This window comes from Homo sapiens, chromosome 3 (genome assembly GCF_000001405.40).
Source record: "Homo sapiens chromosome 3, GRCh38.p14 Primary Assembly".
Taxonomy (NCBI): domain Eukaryota; kingdom Metazoa; phylum Chordata; class Mammalia; order Primates; family Hominidae; genus Homo; species Homo sapiens.
Window position 1 is genome coordinate 69,180,662 of NC_000003.12, and position 16,723 is coordinate 69,197,384.

Genomic DNA, 16,723 nt, shown 5'->3' on the forward strand with positions numbered 1-16,723 from the left:
AATGTTTGCTGGATTTGAATCTACAATTTGCTTCATTAGACTCATGTGTACTGAGTTCTTTGGAGAGCTGGAAAGAACTGTTTTTAAGTTGGAAATTCTTATTGTGGGGTTCCACCGAATGGTTGCCCCACTTTTGACCCTGAGTACTGGTCTCATGATCCGTGAGGCGGTTTTAGGTGGGCAGGAAACACGATGTAAATAAAATCCAGGTGTTGCGTGTTTTTACAGTATTCTCACCTGAAGAGTACGAGGATGCACGACTGCTTGGAGAACAAGGTACTTGCAGCCCCGCAAACCCCAGGCATCTCTGTGATCCCCTGTCTGAGTCAAAGCTGGTCTGCGGGCTGTGTCCCTGATCCTTCTGCCCAGAGGCCCGCTGGTACCAGCCACGCAAGTGCTCGGCAACTAAGGCCTTGTGGATGTTTTTGGTGATGTGCTCCGATTTTGCAGCAGCCTTCCTTGGCAGCCGGAGAGTTGCATATGGGTTATGGGGTACCCGGTCGACCTCATCTTCGTGAAAGGATCTGCTGTAGTCCCTCTGGCGCTCATATCCATAGTGGGCTGAGGACCGGTAGGAAGGGTTGACACTATACTGTCCCTCGGTGTCATTCTCATAGACATAACCACCACTGTAATAAAAGTCACACTCTGCATAGGGTGTGTACCCGGCAATGTAGTAACTGGAAGACGGTGGCTCCTGACTCTTTGAGTAAACACCATTCCTCAAACTATCCTTTTGTGCTAGGTTGGGCATGCTTCCTGAATTTGAAGTAGAAACATTCTGTTTCTTTGACCTCCTCCGACCCCTGGTGCGAGTGTCCAGGGTCTGGGTGGTGTAATAGGGGCCGGTAACTGGTGTCACACAGTAATACTCTGTGCTTGATTGGCTTGTATAAGAAGACCCGTCATCGAGGATTTCTGTGCTGCTGCTTCTTTGGGATTTGGAGAGGGAGAAAAATGGCTTATCGCTGTCCATCTCGGAGAGCAGGTGGGACTGGGACTCCAGGCTTCCACTCCGCTGGCGGCAGTGCTGAGATGAAGATTCGGGTCTGAAAGAGGAGAAAGGCAAACTTCTCAACACCAAGAAGAAAAGGAGGACCCAAATAAGAAAAAAGAATAGCATGCTGAATGACTGAATAGCTCGTGAATTACAATAGGACTTTGAGTTGCCAAAGCTGACTGCACAATAGAATCCATTGTTCTCCAAATCTGTTGGCTCACATGTAGGTTCATTTTGACCATGGTCAAAATGAGAAAAGAGCTGGCTTCTGTTAGTTGCGCAAGCCAAATCCTTCCTTGAGGGTAGGGAAAGACACAGACTGAGGATGCACAGTTTGCATCACAGCCTGGAAAAAAAAACAAAAACAAAAACAAAAAACCCAACGTGTCTTTGGAGGGTCCTGTCTTCCTAGAGGATATGAAGATATGGTACATTCGAGTGGAGGTCAGAGGTGGCTGGGCTGAGTCATGGCACTGCTATTTCCCAGCTGTATGAGCTCAGGCCAGATATTTAACCTCTCTGAATCTTGCTTCCTCCTTTGTAAGATGAGGATGAAAACAATATATAATATCTACCTCACAAAAGGCTTGCTGTAGGGACTAAATAATCCAGTGAATATAAAACATTTAGCACAGCACTCACAAACATTTCAAAATGTTGCTATTGTTACTAACTTCATCCTCACCATTGAATAATGAATGGTAATATGTGACTGGGGAAATTAAGGTACTAAAAATCTAATGTATATTTGAACAAATCAAATACATTTTCTTTGCCAACATATTTGAAACCATAAGTTAGCAGAAAATGTAAAACCATAAAACAAGGTCCTGCTACAGAAAGTCACTTGAAATGATTAAAAAACACAATAAAGCAAGACAGAACCTCAAAGCAAAAATCAAGACAGCTAAAGCAATGAGAAAGAAGCTCTCTTACTCCAAGTGGCTGCTGCTGTAGGCGTTTCGGGTAAGAACTGGCGTGGTGGGCATGCTTCGTCCTCCCTGGGGCCGCCTCTCCAGAGTTTTGTAAGGGCTGCTGTGTGTGGACAGCATTTCTCTGTGATGATAAAAAGAAGAATTCAGGAAATGATGAGTCTCTCAACATCTCTGGCAAACTTGTCATAAGCAGATACAAAACTTACTAGAAGCCCAAGGAAAGGGAAAATAGGGAGAAAGATAGGAAGAGTGTCTTTGTGGTTCACTAAACCACAAAGAAAACCCGCTAAAACAGCGGGAGCACATATGGTCTGACTTTCTGAGTCACAAATATGTAGGGAAAAAAAGGACTTTTAATAAAGAGTACACTGAATAAAAAGACTCAAAGCAACTAGAGCTGTTTATGTAGGCACCTGAACATTCAAAACAGTCCTTAGATGATCAAATCTTTGTGGTGAACAGGGATGGATGTATAATTCAGCAAACTCCTTTTTTGTAAACAGTCTAGAATACTAAATAGCTTTTGGCTTTGTGGGCCAGATGGTCTCTAGAGCGACTACTCAGCTCTGCCCTTTCAGTGCAAAAGCAGCCATGGATAATATGTAAGAGAATGGGTGTGGCTGTGTTCCAAGAAAATGACCTATGGATGCTAAATTTCATATCATTTTTACAGGTTGTAAAATATTATTGCTTTTGATCCCCCCACCACCAGCTACCTAAAAATATAAAAACCATTCTTAGCTCACGGTCTGCGCAAAAACAGGCAGCAGGATGGATTTGGCCACTGGACTGTTGTTTGCTGGTCCCTGGACTAAGAACAACAGCTTTAAGTCACTATGTCTACTTCCCAGCATGGTGACAACACAATTAGAAGTTAATTTTTTTTTTTTTTTTTTTTTTTTTTGAGACTGAGTCTTGCTCTGTCGCCCAGGCTGGAGTGCAGTGGTGTGATTTTGGCTCACTGCAAGCCCCGCCTCCTGGGTTCACGCCATTCTCCTGCCTCAGCCTCCGGAGTAGCTGGGACCACAGGCGCCCACCACCACGCCTGGCTAATTTTTTGTAGTTTTAGTAAAGACAGGGTTTCACCTTGTTAGCCAGGATGGTCTCGATCTCCTGACCTTGTGATCCGCCCACCTCGGCCTCCCAAAGTGCTGGGATTACAGGCGTGAGCCACCGCGCCCAGCCTGAAGTTAATTTTTTTTAACTAAAAATAATTTTGATCAAATTTTACTTACTACAAAAGCAAGTCTAAGTTCATTAGGAAAACTTTAAAAATACAGATAAAAAGAAAAATTTAAATGTCTATAATCTTTTTTTTAGATGGAGTCTCGCTCTGTCATCCAGGCTTGAGGAGAGTGGCACAATCTCAGCTCACTGCAACCTCCAGCTCCTGGGTTCGAGTGATCCTCCCACCTCAGCCTCCCAAGTAGCTGGAATTACAGGTGTACACCACCATGCCTGGCTAATGTTTATTTTTTTTATTTTTTTTATTTTTAGTAGAGATGGGGTTTCACCATGTTGGCCAGGCTGTTTTCGAACTCCTGACGTCAAGTAATCTGCCTGCCTCAGCCTCCCAAAGTGCTGGGATTACAGGCGTGAGCCGCTGCCTGTATAATCTGATACCTTTTACATAGTCAGGCAACATTAAATGTTTTCAGATTATTTTTCCTAAGCACATAAACTTATTAGCATGTATTTATACATAAACATACATATTTATTTTTTAACAAAACATGAGATTTACTATATATTCTTTTTCAACGCTCACTTTTTAAAAAGTTAAGTTGTACCTAACATTTTATGTTGCTTACTATTTGCCTACAGTGTTATTTTAATGACTGCATAGCATTTTATTGTATGGATTTACCATAATTTATTTAAATAATCAGCTAGTTGAACATGTGGTTTGTTTTCAATTTGCCAGTAGTGTAAGCAATGCTGTAATGAGCATCCTACATGTAGTTAGTTAATTCAGTAGTAAAATTCCTAAGTGAAATTGCTGGATAAAAAAGCAAATCCATCTTAAGTGATTGGAGATGTGGGTATAATAATTTTTAAGACAATGATTCCCAGCTATAATTCTTCCTTTTGCTGAAATAGCTTTGTTTTCCCTAACATAAGAAGCACACTTGTCTCATGTTATCCAATAGGACTTTCTGCAATGACAAAAATGTTCCGGGTCTGTTCTGACCAATATGATAGCCACTAGCCACATGTGGCTGCTGAGCATTTGAATTGTGGCTAGCATGACTGAGGAACCAAATTTTAAATTTTATTTACTTTTAATTAAATTGGCTAGCATGGCTGTAGCTCCTTGGATCTCTTACCATTTCAGGCAAAAGTTCCTAAATGCTAATCCACAAACTGGGGCCGATATGTGATAAAGATTTCACTGCTCTTTAACAAATTAGAAATATAACAATGTGACCTGGCGCGGTGGCTCATGCCTGTAATCACAGCACTTTGGGAGGCCGAGGTGGGTGGATCACGAGGTCAGGAGATCAAGACCATCCTGGCTAATATGAAACACCGTCTCTACTAAAAACACAAAAAAATTAGCCAGGTGTGGTGGCAGGCACCTGTAGTCCCAGCTACTCAGGAGGTTGAGGCAGGAGAATGGCGTGAACCTGGGAGGCGGAGCTTGCAGTAAGCTGAGATGGCACCACTGCACTCCAGCCTGGGTGGCAGAGTGAGACTCCGTCTCAAAAAAAAAAAAAAAAGAAAAGAAAAAAAGAAGAAACATAGCAATGTGGAGGTTATATTTTCATAAGTCACAATTTATCCACCTTGAATAATCTAATAATCTACCTTGATTTTGAGAATAATTTCCTTTATTTAAATTTTTTTAATTTATATTTTTGGCCCTTGTAGAGCAAATACTTCCCATCTTTGCTGAGATGTGGTATAACATGTTCACTGAAATCAGATCACAAGCTTTGGATCCTGCCAAGTTCTAGGCTACCTAGGTTCAAACCTTGATTCCCATGTTTACTAGTTGATGAACCCAAAGAAGTTATTCATGGTCCCTGGCCCTCAGTGTGCTTATCTGTAAAGGGTAATGACAGTAGTAACACTATCAGGGTTGTCGTGAAGATTAAGTTCATTAATAAATTACATAGAAAAAACATAAACAGTATCTGGGACACAGTAAGTACTCAATAGCGGCCAGTTGTAGTGACTCATGCCTGTAATCCTAGCACTTTGGGAGGCCGAAGTGGGCGGATCACCTGAGGTCAGGAGTTCAAGACCAGCCTGACCAACATGGTGAAACTCTATCTCTACTAAAGATACAAAAACTTGCCGGGTGTGGTGGCGGGCATCTGTAGTCCCAGCTACTTGGAAGGCTGAGGGGGGAGAATTGCTTGAACCTGAAAGGTGAAGGTTGCAGTGAGCCAAGATGGTGCTGCTGCACTCCAGCCTGGGTGACAGAGCAAGACTCTGTCTCAAAAAAAAAAAAAAGTAAGTGCTCAATAGAAATGTTATATGAAATTAATATAAAATGAAATTAACATTACATTAAGTGAAATGTTAACTTCATTCGATTAATATTGCCACAACGATAGTGAATATATTTTTTATATCAAAATGTCATTTCTTTCATGGATTCATGGTGCTATTTTTTTGAACATTTCTTTTTTTTTTCTTTTTCCTTTTTTTTTTTTTTTTTGAGACAGCATCTTGCTCTGTTGCCCAGGCTGGGGTGGAGTGACATGATCATAGTTCACTTCAATTGTGAAATCCTGGGCTCAAGCAATCCTCCTGCCTCAGTCTCCCAAGTAGCTAGGACTACAGGTAGGCAACACCATGTCTGGCTAATTAAAAAAGAAATTTTGGGCCGGGCACACTGGCTCATGCCTGTAATCCCAGCACTTTGGGAGACTGAGGCGGGTGGATCACCTGAGGTCAGGAGTTCAAGACCAGCCTGGCCAACATGGTGAGACCCTGTCTCTATTAAAAATACAAAAATTAGCCAGGCATGATGGCGCGTGCCTGTAATTCCAGCTACTCAGGAGGCTGAGGTGGGAGAATTGCCTGAAGCCAAGAGGCAGGGGTTGCAGTGAGCTGAGATTGCACCACTGCACTCCAGCCTGAGCGACAGAAAGAGACTCTGTCTATAAAATTTGTAGAGATGGGGCTTCATTAGGTTGCCCAGACTGGTCTCCAACTCTTGAGCTCAAGTGATCCTCCCACCTTGGCCTCCCAAAGTGCTGGGATTATAGGTGTGAGCTGCCGCACTCAGCCTGTGTTTGAAAATTTCTTTTTAGGCAAAGCAAACAGCTGGTAACTGTTTGTTTGCTTTTTAAAGATTGATCCATACAGCCAAGTTCTGGGAACCACTGGCCTGTCATGTTTCTAAAACCTGGTCTCATTGCCCTGATAATATTTACCTGAGATATTTGAGAAAATGCTTGGATTATCTATTTTACAGATTATGAGTTTAAGTCCCATGTTTATTTGCAGGACTGGAAATCAGTCCTGCTACTTGGTTTTGCAGAGTGGACTTTAACGACAATTTCCTTAGACCAGTGACTATAAAACTGAACTGTGGACACTATGTCTAAATCCAGATGATAATTAATGTCCCTATAAGTTAATATAGATCAAATAGACTTTAAAGTCAAGGAAATGGTCAAATGCATTTTAAAAGACTTCTTAAAAACATTTTCAGCCAGGCACGGTGGCTCAAACTTGTAATCCCAGCACTTTGGGAGGCCGAGGCAGGCAGATCACCTGAGGTTGGGAGTTCGAGACCACCCGGACCAACATGGAGAAACCCCGTCTCTCCTAAAAATACAAAATTAGCTGGGTGTGGTGGCTTGTAATCCCAGCTGCTCGGGAGGCTGAGGCAGGAGAATTGCTTGAACCCAGGAGGCGGACGTTGCGGTGAGCTGGAGTTCACGCCGTTGCACTCCAGCCTGGGCAACAAGAGTGAAACTCCACCTCAAAAAAAAAAAAATATATATATATATACATATATATATATGTATATATATGTATATTCATTTGCTGTGAACAACAAACTGGGTTAGTTTCTATGCCCCAGTTTTACAAGATAACATCTTTTGGAAGGATAAATAAAAACATGTGAAAATGTATCAACCATACATTGCATTTTGGAGGAAAAATTTCCTAGCTGTGGGGCATTAACCTTACTGATGATATGACCTCTCACCTGGACTGCCTGGTATCCACAAACTGTTCATTGATGGACGACTTTCTGAAATGGATTCGCTCAATACCAAGAGACTTGGGGGGAAGAATTCTTGGAGAATGAGGTACTGAACTTGATCGCTGCCCAGGAAAAGTGAAGGCATCACTGGCTATAATAAGTAAATGGGTGAATGAAAAAATAAGTAGGCAAATTAATAGGTAAATAAATATCTTGCCAATACCTCAAAAAAGAAATTAGAAGGTTTAGTGAACAAAGTGTTCTTCCAAAGATGATATTTTTAGAAGAACATAACTCTTTCAAGAAGTTAATTTTTATATTTTATACACCAGAAAAAACGAAAATACTGAACACTCTTCTGGGACCTGAACCATCTTTTGCCAAATTCAACAGGTGTCACTTAGAGTGAGTAAATCACTCAAGGGGAATGGGTAATACTGCAGCTTTTAAAAAGCTATATTAAAGAAAACCCCCAGTGTGAACCAAGGGGAAGTTGGCCTGGATCATTTTTGTTCACCTTTACTTTTAAAGTTTTTAGGCCTCTTTGGCCAAAGGCTTATCCTGTCATTGAAAGTAAGGAAACTGACTTATGCTGCATCTTTAGAGGCTTGTTATGTTTTCCACTGATATTTACATTTTCAAAGAGGGATGGCAAGCATGACCAAACATCACCTCACATGAAGAATTCTGCAGTGGTGAAATTTTATGCACCATAAAACTTGGGGAAGAGCCTGTAATCCCAGCACTTTGGGAGGCCGAGGCGGGTGGATCATGAGGTCAGGAGATCGAGACCATCCTGGCTAACAAGGTGAAACCCCGTCTCTACTAAAAATACAAAAAATTAGCCGGGCGCGGTGGCGGGCGCCTGTAGTCCCAGCTACTCGGGAGGCTGAGGCAGGAGAATGGCGTGAACCCGGGAAGCGGAGCTTGCAGTGAGCCGAGATTGCGCCACTGCAGTCCGCAGTCCGACCTGGGCGACAGAGCGAGACTCCGTCTCAAAAAAAAAAAAAAAAAAAAACTTGGGGAAGATAAAGCAGTGGGGGTGTGGTTTCCTGGAATTCTTCAAGTCATACCACAGAGATCGCCAACTCAATCATGATTAAGTACAAGAGATGACAAAGAAACACTCTATTAGTTGATAGTAAACCCATTCTATAATGGAATGTATTGAACGGCTGGGCTCGGTGGCTCACGCCTGTAATCCTGGCACTTTGGGAGGCCGAGGCAGGCAGATCACCTTAGGTCAGGAGTTCGAGACTAGCCTGACCAACATGGTGAAACCCTGTCTCTACTAAAAATACAAAAATTAGCCAGGAGTGGTGCCCAATGCCTGTAATCCCAGCTACTCGGGAGGCTGAGGCAGGAGAATTGCTTGAACCTGGGAGGCAGAGGTTGCAGTGAGCTGAGATCGCACCAGTGCACTCTAGCCTGGGCAACAAGAGCGAAACTCCATCTCAAAAAAAAAAAAAAAAAAAAAAAAGAGAGAGAGAGACAAGAAATGTATTGAACAAATACAGGCCATTACAATCGATACAGCCTGCCTCTATGAAACAACAAAATGACAGGTAGCCCAATGTCTAACTGTGCCTTTCTTCCTAAATAAAATAAACTTTCCTTTATCTAGAATATGAAAGTTTATTTCACATTGTAAAACATACAATGATTTTATTTCATATTGTGATGAATACAGTGATAACGTGTACAATCTAATATCCTGGTTTTGATATTGGACTCCAGATATATAAGATGTCACCATTGGGAAAAGCTGGGTGAAGGAATCTTTGTATTAATTATACAACTCTCCGTAAATCTATGATTACTTCAAAATAAAAAGTTAAGAAACACTTTAGAGAGCCTTAAAGTCCTTACTGAGAGACTTAGATACTCCCGTGAGGGCATTCTGATTCGCTGAGGTCATGTGATTTTTGTGGTCCTGTTATTAACGCTGAGTTAACCTGAGTAGGTGTTAATCATACACTTCCTTTCCCAACCATTTTGCATAAATGTAAGTTAGTTTATTCTACTTTTTCTCAAAAGAAAAACAAATAGGCCTTACTTAACTAAGAAAATTATCTTAATTATTTCAGAATATCTAACATTTTTAAACCAAAAAAGGAAGAGCCACTTACGATCATCATAGGTGGTGGTGTCAGACAAAGAGCTACTCTCTGAGGGGATTATGTCTTCTGTGAATAAAAATAACTGCCTTTAGTACAATTGTGCATTTATACAATTAGAGGGGTCTTAGATAAACAATTTTCAATGGAATGCATTTTCATTTAAATAAATGTAATTAATTACAGTGCATTAAGAATAATTAACTACCATAGTAAGAATGGACTCATATACTAACAAAAATCAAAACATTTTACATATTGTACGAATATCACATTAGATTATTTCTTAAAATGGAACAGACTTCAAGGGAGTGCTGGTTTTAAACTAGTTTTCGGTGTTTCTTCTACACTGGAATAAAACTTTACCTATATATTTAGTGCTTATGATCAACAAACTGGAAAGAAAAAATCATGCCATTCTTATCATAAATGCTAAATGTTAAATAAAACACATTTGAATCCTCATTTGAAAATCTACTCTTAATATAACTTGGCTTTTGACCCCTCCCTGAAAGAAAAGGCCTTTTTTTTTTTTTCTTGTTTGTTTATGGGACAGAGTCTCATTCTGTTGCCCAGGCTGGAGTGCAATGGTGTGATCGTGGCTCACTGCAGCCTCAACCTCCTGGGCTTAAGCAATCCTCCCGCCTCAGCCTCCTGAGTAGCTGAGATTACAGGTATGCAGCACCACGCCTGGCTAACTTTTTGGATTTTTAGTAAAGATCAGGTATCACCATTTGGCCAGGCTGGTCTTGAACTCCTGGGCTCAAGTGACCTGCCTACCTAGGCCTCCCAAAGTACTGGGATTAAAGGTGTGAATCACTATGACTGGCCAAGCTTTTCAACAGGTTTCTCAACAGTGGCACTACTGACATTTTGAACTGGATAATCCTTTGTCCTGGGGAGATGTCCTGTGCATTATAGGATTTCCAGCCTCCCTGGTTGAGAACCACTGAATTAGGTTTAAGTCTTGGTTTTGCCATTTATCGACTATGAGACCTTGGGCAAATTACTTAATCTCTAAGTATCACCTGGCTCAATCCCACAATGGGGATAACAACAGTACCTATCACGTAGTGCTGGGGTGAGGCGTTAGAATAACGGATGTAAAGCCCCTAGCCCAGCTCCCAGCATTACATGACAAATGCTCAGTAAATGTTAGCTAGACTTAAATCTTTAGTTAACTAGACACTGTGTTCTGGTTGGCAATGGCCATAACACTCTATTGCTGGTATCCATCAAATGTTAAATAATGTGGCCAGGCACACTGCCTCACCCCTGTAATCTCAGCACTTCGAGAGGCCGAGGTTGGTGTATCACTTGAGGGTCAGGAGTTTAAGACCAGCCTGGCCAACACAGTGAAATCCTGTCTCTATGAAAAATACAAAAATTAGCCAAGCATGGTGGTGTATGCCTGTAATCCCAGCTATTTGGGAGGCTGAGGCAGGAGAATTGCTTGAACCTGGGAGGCGGAGGTTGCAGTGAGCCGAGATCATGCCACTGCACTCCAGGCTGGGTGGCAGAGACAGCTCTGTCTCAAAAGAAAAAAAACAAAAAACAAACAAAAAAACAAACGTATTCAGTAAAGAAAAGTATCTCAGATGTGTTGATCTGCATTTGCAAATCATTCCATATTCACCTGAGTGTTTTGGCATGAGGTTCTAGGCAAATATAATCCTCAATGTAAACTTCAAGACCATTATGAAGGGAAGCTCTCCAACCAATCTCTAATGTTAATCTGTATCAGAAACAAGTGAACTATCTCTATCAGACACACAGTGGAGCTTGAAGGCAAGGTGCCAGTATAGTCAGCTGTTAGGCATACTTTCACTGTAAAGGAGAACATTTGAATTTTGCACAGTTTGAGGATGGATGGGCCATAACAAATGGCCATGAAGTTAAGCACAACACTAATCACCCATATCTGTAGGTCCAGAAATTAACCACCCCCAAGACTGCCTGGATTTCACATTCAACCAAAGCTACTCTACATTCTCCAGCTGTAGTGGACTAACACTTGTGTGTTGATGCTGTACATTCCCTTTCCAAAAGCCATGTCTGCTTTGTAAATCATATGCTCTACACCCAATTATATTCTAAACTCACTTACCTTATTTCATCAAATCTAAGATATATATTTTAAGTACCAGCAAAAAATAATAAAAAAAGTACTGCCAAGTATGACTGTAAAGCACCATCTAGTGTGTTAAGAACTAACCCAAGGCTGGGCGTGGTGGCTCACACCTCAATCCTGGCAGTTTGGGAGGCTGAGGTGGGAGGATTGCTTGAGCTCAGGAGTTTGAGACCAGCCTGGGCAACATGGTGAAACCCCATGTCTACAAAACATTAGCCAGGCATGGTGGTGCGTGCCTATAGTCCCAGCTGCTAGGGAGGCTGAGGTAGGAGGATCACCTGAGCCCAGGAAGTCGAGGCTGCAGTGAGCTTTGATGGTACCACTGCACTCCAGCTTGGGCCACAGAAAGAGATCCTGTCTCAAAAAGACAAAAACAAAAAAAGACAAACAAAAAAACCCAAAACTATCCCAATTTCATAGATGTTAAAATGTAAAGGAAAAAATGTCTTAGAATCAAAGAAATACAATCATATTTCAGTCACCAGGCTGAAAACCATACCAATAAACATGTAAGGTCAATTGGACTTTAAATCCACCTGGGATTTCTAAGTTTATGTTTTTTCTGAAAATGAAAGTCATAAATACATAATGTTGAGAACTTGGAAACTACAGAATATTAAGAAGAAAATTAAGTTACTTGAAATTTCACAACTGTTAGTATTTTGAAATATTTCTCAGCCAGTCTTTGTGTGTGCATATTTCTATAAAATTGGGATCATGTTGTGGTAACAATTTTATATCTGGCTTTTCTGCATTTCATGTTATATCATGACCATTTGCCCATATCTTTATTTTTTAATTTTGTTCACTTTTTTTTTTTTGAGGCAGGGTCTTGCCCTGTCACCCACGCTGGAGTGCAGTGGTGCAATCATAGTTCACTGCAGCCTCGATTACCTGGGCTCAAATGATCCTCCCATTTCAGCCTCCCCTGTGGCTGGGACTACAGGTATGTACCACCATGCCTGGCTAATTTTTAAAATATTTTTTGAAGAGACGGGGTTTCACCACGCTTCCCAGGGTGGTCTCAAACTCCTTAGCTCAAGTGATCCGCTCACCTCAGCCTCCCAAAGTGCTGGGATTATAGGTGTGGGGCGCCATGCTCGTGCTGCCCATATCTTTAAATAGCCTTCACAAATCACAGAAATTTTAAATCAAGTGTACATACTTATAAAACTGAAATTCCAAACAATTTTTATCCTAAGAAACTTAGTTTGTCAGGCGCAGTGGCTCATGCCTGTAATGCCAGCACTTTGCAAGGCTGAGGAGGGTGGATCACCTGAGATCAGGAGTTTGAGACCAGCCTGACCGAGATGGTGAAACCCTATCTCTACCAAAAATACAAAATTAGCTAGGTGTGGTGGCGCATGCCTGTAACCCCAGCTACTTGGGAGGCTGAGGCAGGACAATCACTTGAACCCATGAGGTGGAGTTTGCAGTGAGCCGAGATTGCCCCATTGCACTCCAGCCTGGGCAACAAGAGTGAAACTCTGTCTCCAAATAAAAAAGAAAACTTAGTTTTGATCACCTGGTTCTTCCTTTGATCTCTCATCAACTGGTAACTGGTTTGGAAATGCTATATACCATGAAGTACTGAGTAGGGGACTCAAAAAAAAAAACCTTACTTATTACTAACCTGGTAACACTGTTGCTTTCTGGCTGGGTTTCTTTCCACACCTAATTCGGTATTCGTTTATTGCATTTTCAATCTCCTGAAGCTTTTTCATCGCATCTGTGTAATCTTGCTTTCGCTTTTTCTTCACAGTTTTACAAAGGTCTGGCTCATTGGCAAGTTTCTTTGCAGCTTCCACCAGCTTTTGTTGTATTAGAAAATTACTCTCCAGTTCTTGCAAAGCAGGATCCTGCATTTATACAATGATAGTTTTATTTTTATGGACACATACAATCAACTCTTACATGCATTGTGTAATAAAACTTCCTGTGCACTTTCTTGAATCAGACGTTCTTTGAGAACACTATCTTCCCAACTTTTACTGCATAGACATCCTTGTCAAACACTTTCCTTTACTCGTCTTAACTTCAACTTCTCATTAGTCCAAACCTCTTCCCTTTTCAAGGAAGGGAATGGCCTTTCATTCATTCAGTTGGTTGGGAGAAGATCACAGTTTTCACAGATATATTCTCAACTCAAAGCTCATGGATGCAGAAGATTATATTTATATGCATAGCTTTAGAGACAGATAAATTTGGGTTTGATCTTCTTCCTGGTAATTCCTGGTTGCATGACCCTGGATACACAGCTTCATCTTTCAATGCTTCAGTTTTTTTCATTTGTAAAATGAAGATAACACCTACCTTATGAAGTAGGATGAGGATTAAATGAGATAGTATATGTGCATTGCTTAGCTCAGAGATGGGTACACAGTGAGCACTCAGTAAATAGTAAAGATTTCCAAAGATGAAAACAGATACAATTTTCTAAAGCTAAGATGGTCAAATTTCTACAAGAAACATAGATATGGTTATATTGGCTGATGACATGCAAATGAGAAAGTATTATACATTCTATATTGGCTAACAAATATTTTAACTTGATTGTAGCTCAGTGCTGTGCATGTATTATCTCATTTAATACTCATTGGATCCCGTGGAGGGAAGTCCAATCATTACCCCCATTTTACAGATGAGGAAAACTGAGGCCTGAGAAATGAGACTTTAGAGAGGCTAAACTATTTGACAAAGGCTATTATTTAGTTTTAAGTAAACAAACCTAATGCTGGAGTTCTTAATTCTTATAATGCTGACTCTCAAATGAGAAACATTTGGAGTTCACTGAATGCCTATGATTTGGGGAGTAAATTAGTGAGAAGTAACTCAATTTTGACTGGAGTGGGCATGAAAGAAAGAGTTCAATTTGGTCTACACGATCCATCTGTACTGGTGAGATAACATACAGCAGAGACTCAAAAACCAAAGGAAAATGTCCACTACACTCAGACAGCTTTCCTGTCTTATGATTAATTGAAAGGCTCAGAGGCGTTGTTCATACTTCTTCACTCGGCAGCAAGTTGTCATCTAATTTGAACGCAGTACCCACACGTCTTCTGACCTGAGGAGGCTTCTCGCCTATGTTCAGGGGATACTCCTTTGGCATTTTGCCTGTGAGCTCCTGTAAAACAGGACAGAATCAAGAGCAGATAATTGACACTGGCCAAAGTTGTCAAACACAACTTGATGAGCCCCAAAAAGCAGACTCACAGCCTCCCGCAGACAGATCTTCTTAAGCTCCTCAACTTTTTTCAGAAGTTTTTCTTGTAATAGTTTCTCCTTCTTCTTTAGTTCAAGGATTTTTTCTCTCTTTTGCTCTTCACTAACTTCTGAGTCTTGAGAACCTAGGGGATGAGGGAAGGGCAGGGAAGGTTTATACAAGGGATGTTTCCTTCCTTTCTAAGGGACAAAGGATTTTTAAGCTAAAGCTGCTATTAAATGGTAGTTTATTTCTTTTCTCCTTGTTTCTCAACATAATAAAAGGAAACTGGAAAACATTTTCTCATTCTTCTGGGCATCAAACAGAACCTGGTAATAAAATGTGCCTTTTTGCATCCTGGCTCAGTCATTTTGGGGGTAATGATAAAATGCTTAACGTCCCAGACACACCCAAAGAAAAATTTCATTTTTCTGAGCAGAAGAGAAGGTAAGATGGTCCTTGAAGAGTTGTTTCAAGTGTTCTTTTAAAAAGTAAGCAAGCAAGCAAGGAAAAGAAAAATCAGTGTGAAGGAAGGTCATGCTTCAGAGTCACAAGTTGACAGTGAGATTTAGATGGGACGAATCATTTTAGTAAAGTTACATATACTTAATGATAAGGGATTCCAGAATTTTTACAGAGGAAGGGCTTAGGGGAAGCTACCACATTTGAGGGGTATGCTTGTAATCATGTTTGTATAGCATTTTATATTGCATGGAGAATTAGACAATTATCTGTATCAAAAACTGAATGCTGGAAAAAGCAGCTGCTGTGGAAAATGTTCTTTCAAGCCACACCTTGGTACTCACCATCCTTGCATCTCATATGACATGCACAACCTATTTATAATTTGACTTTCTACATATTCTTTAAAAAATTAGCCTTAAAATTTTATTCAAAGCTGTCGCATACATACTTATTGACATACTTATTTATTCCCAAAATAATGGATTAAAAGATGAATTTCGAAGTGGTTTATGACCGAAAAAACAAACGAAATAAAGATGGCTTGCACGTTCTCTAATCCCAAGATGTTACCTGAGGAGATTAAACTGCCATTACTTGCCATGATGAACTGACTTTTCGTCTCCAGTGTCACCAGCTTGGAGGCCCTTTGTGTTCCTGTCTCTGTCAAATCCATTGCAATCTCATCTAAACTCCTGGCTGAAGGAATTTTTGCCTAAGAGGCATACAACAATGAAACAGAATTAACTCAAACATACTTCAAATTAATGAAACAATTAAGTTAACATACAATAAAAATAGCAACACAGAGGATAATTTAGAATTTTCACATATTCAAGTGGCATTCTTCAGACCAAAAAACAAAACAAAACAAAAACCCCACAAGTAGTTAAAATGTTTTAATAACTATACGTGATTTTCTCATGGTGTGGTTCAGTTACTAACTTTGAAGTGTCACCGGCAACATCACCGCCAGCAGTGTCACCAGTATATACAAACGTGCATGCCAAAAAGTTGGCCAGTCTTACAACTTTTAAAGCAGCTTATATATTGCCCATCATGTAAACATATAAAAAACCTGAAATAGTTGGAAGTTAAACGCAAAAAAATCTCAGAGAGCAAAAATATATGTGCTTGCATCTTTTGTGAGAAGGCTTATCTTCTGAACAGAATGCAAAAGGGGAATCTGTCCCTATAGAAATGATGCCAGTTACTTACTTTGCTTTGCTTCCGGTCCAAGTAAAACTGATGCTGACTAATTGCCATTACCCAAATGGACTTGATGAGAGAAGAGTTAGCATACCATGTTTGCACAAACAAGCCACTTTGCCCAAAGGTTCTTCTTGAAACTGAAATCCTGAAAGATTAAAGAAAGCACTCAAATAATTCCCCTCTGGCCCAGCATGATGCAAAATGTACCCTGCGAGCAGCATTGTAACAAAGCATGTTCCTCTTACCTGTCTTCTGTTGCAAAAACTCTTACGCAAATGGGGACCAAGTTTCTGATTTTCTCCTTTTACAACAAAACAATTCAGACCTAAGTAATCTCTTTCTGGATAAACAGCATGTTTAAAAACACATACACATGAACTCAAAAGCTGATAAAGAATCAGTCAAATTAGAGATTATACAAAAACATTTAGTTAGAAACTCTAAGGATGTGTAGCCATCACAAGTGGTAAGGAATAAATGGGATAAGATTT

At 40.5% G+C, this 16,723-nt stretch overlaps 1 protein-coding gene across 18 annotated transcripts in view; it reads right to left on the reverse strand.

The window, feature by feature from the left end:
• FRMD4B (FERM domain containing 4B) overlaps positions 1 to 16,723 on the reverse strand; it is a 373,805-nt gene that overhangs the window by 11,880 nt on the left and 345,202 nt on the right. For all 18 annotated transcript variants that reach the window (XM_017005993.2, XM_047447767.1, XM_047447771.1 and 15 more), the window contains 9 exons: positions 16,239 to 16,377; positions 15,594 to 15,735; positions 14,570 to 14,703; positions 14,361 to 14,480; positions 12,987 to 13,212; positions 9,235 to 9,291; positions 7,109 to 7,256; positions 1,937 to 2,056; positions 238 to 1,049 (listed from right to left, as the gene is read on the reverse strand). In XM_017005993.2, coding sequence (XP_016861482.1) covers positions 238 to 1,049; positions 1,937 to 2,056; positions 7,109 to 7,256; positions 9,235 to 9,291; positions 12,987 to 13,212; positions 14,361 to 14,480; positions 14,570 to 14,703; positions 15,594 to 15,735; positions 16,239 to 16,377 — 1,898 coding nt within the window. The remainder of the gene's footprint in view (positions 1 to 237; positions 1,050 to 1,936; positions 2,057 to 7,108; positions 7,257 to 9,234; positions 9,292 to 12,986; positions 13,213 to 14,360; positions 14,481 to 14,569; positions 14,704 to 15,593; positions 15,736 to 16,238; positions 16,378 to 16,723) is intronic.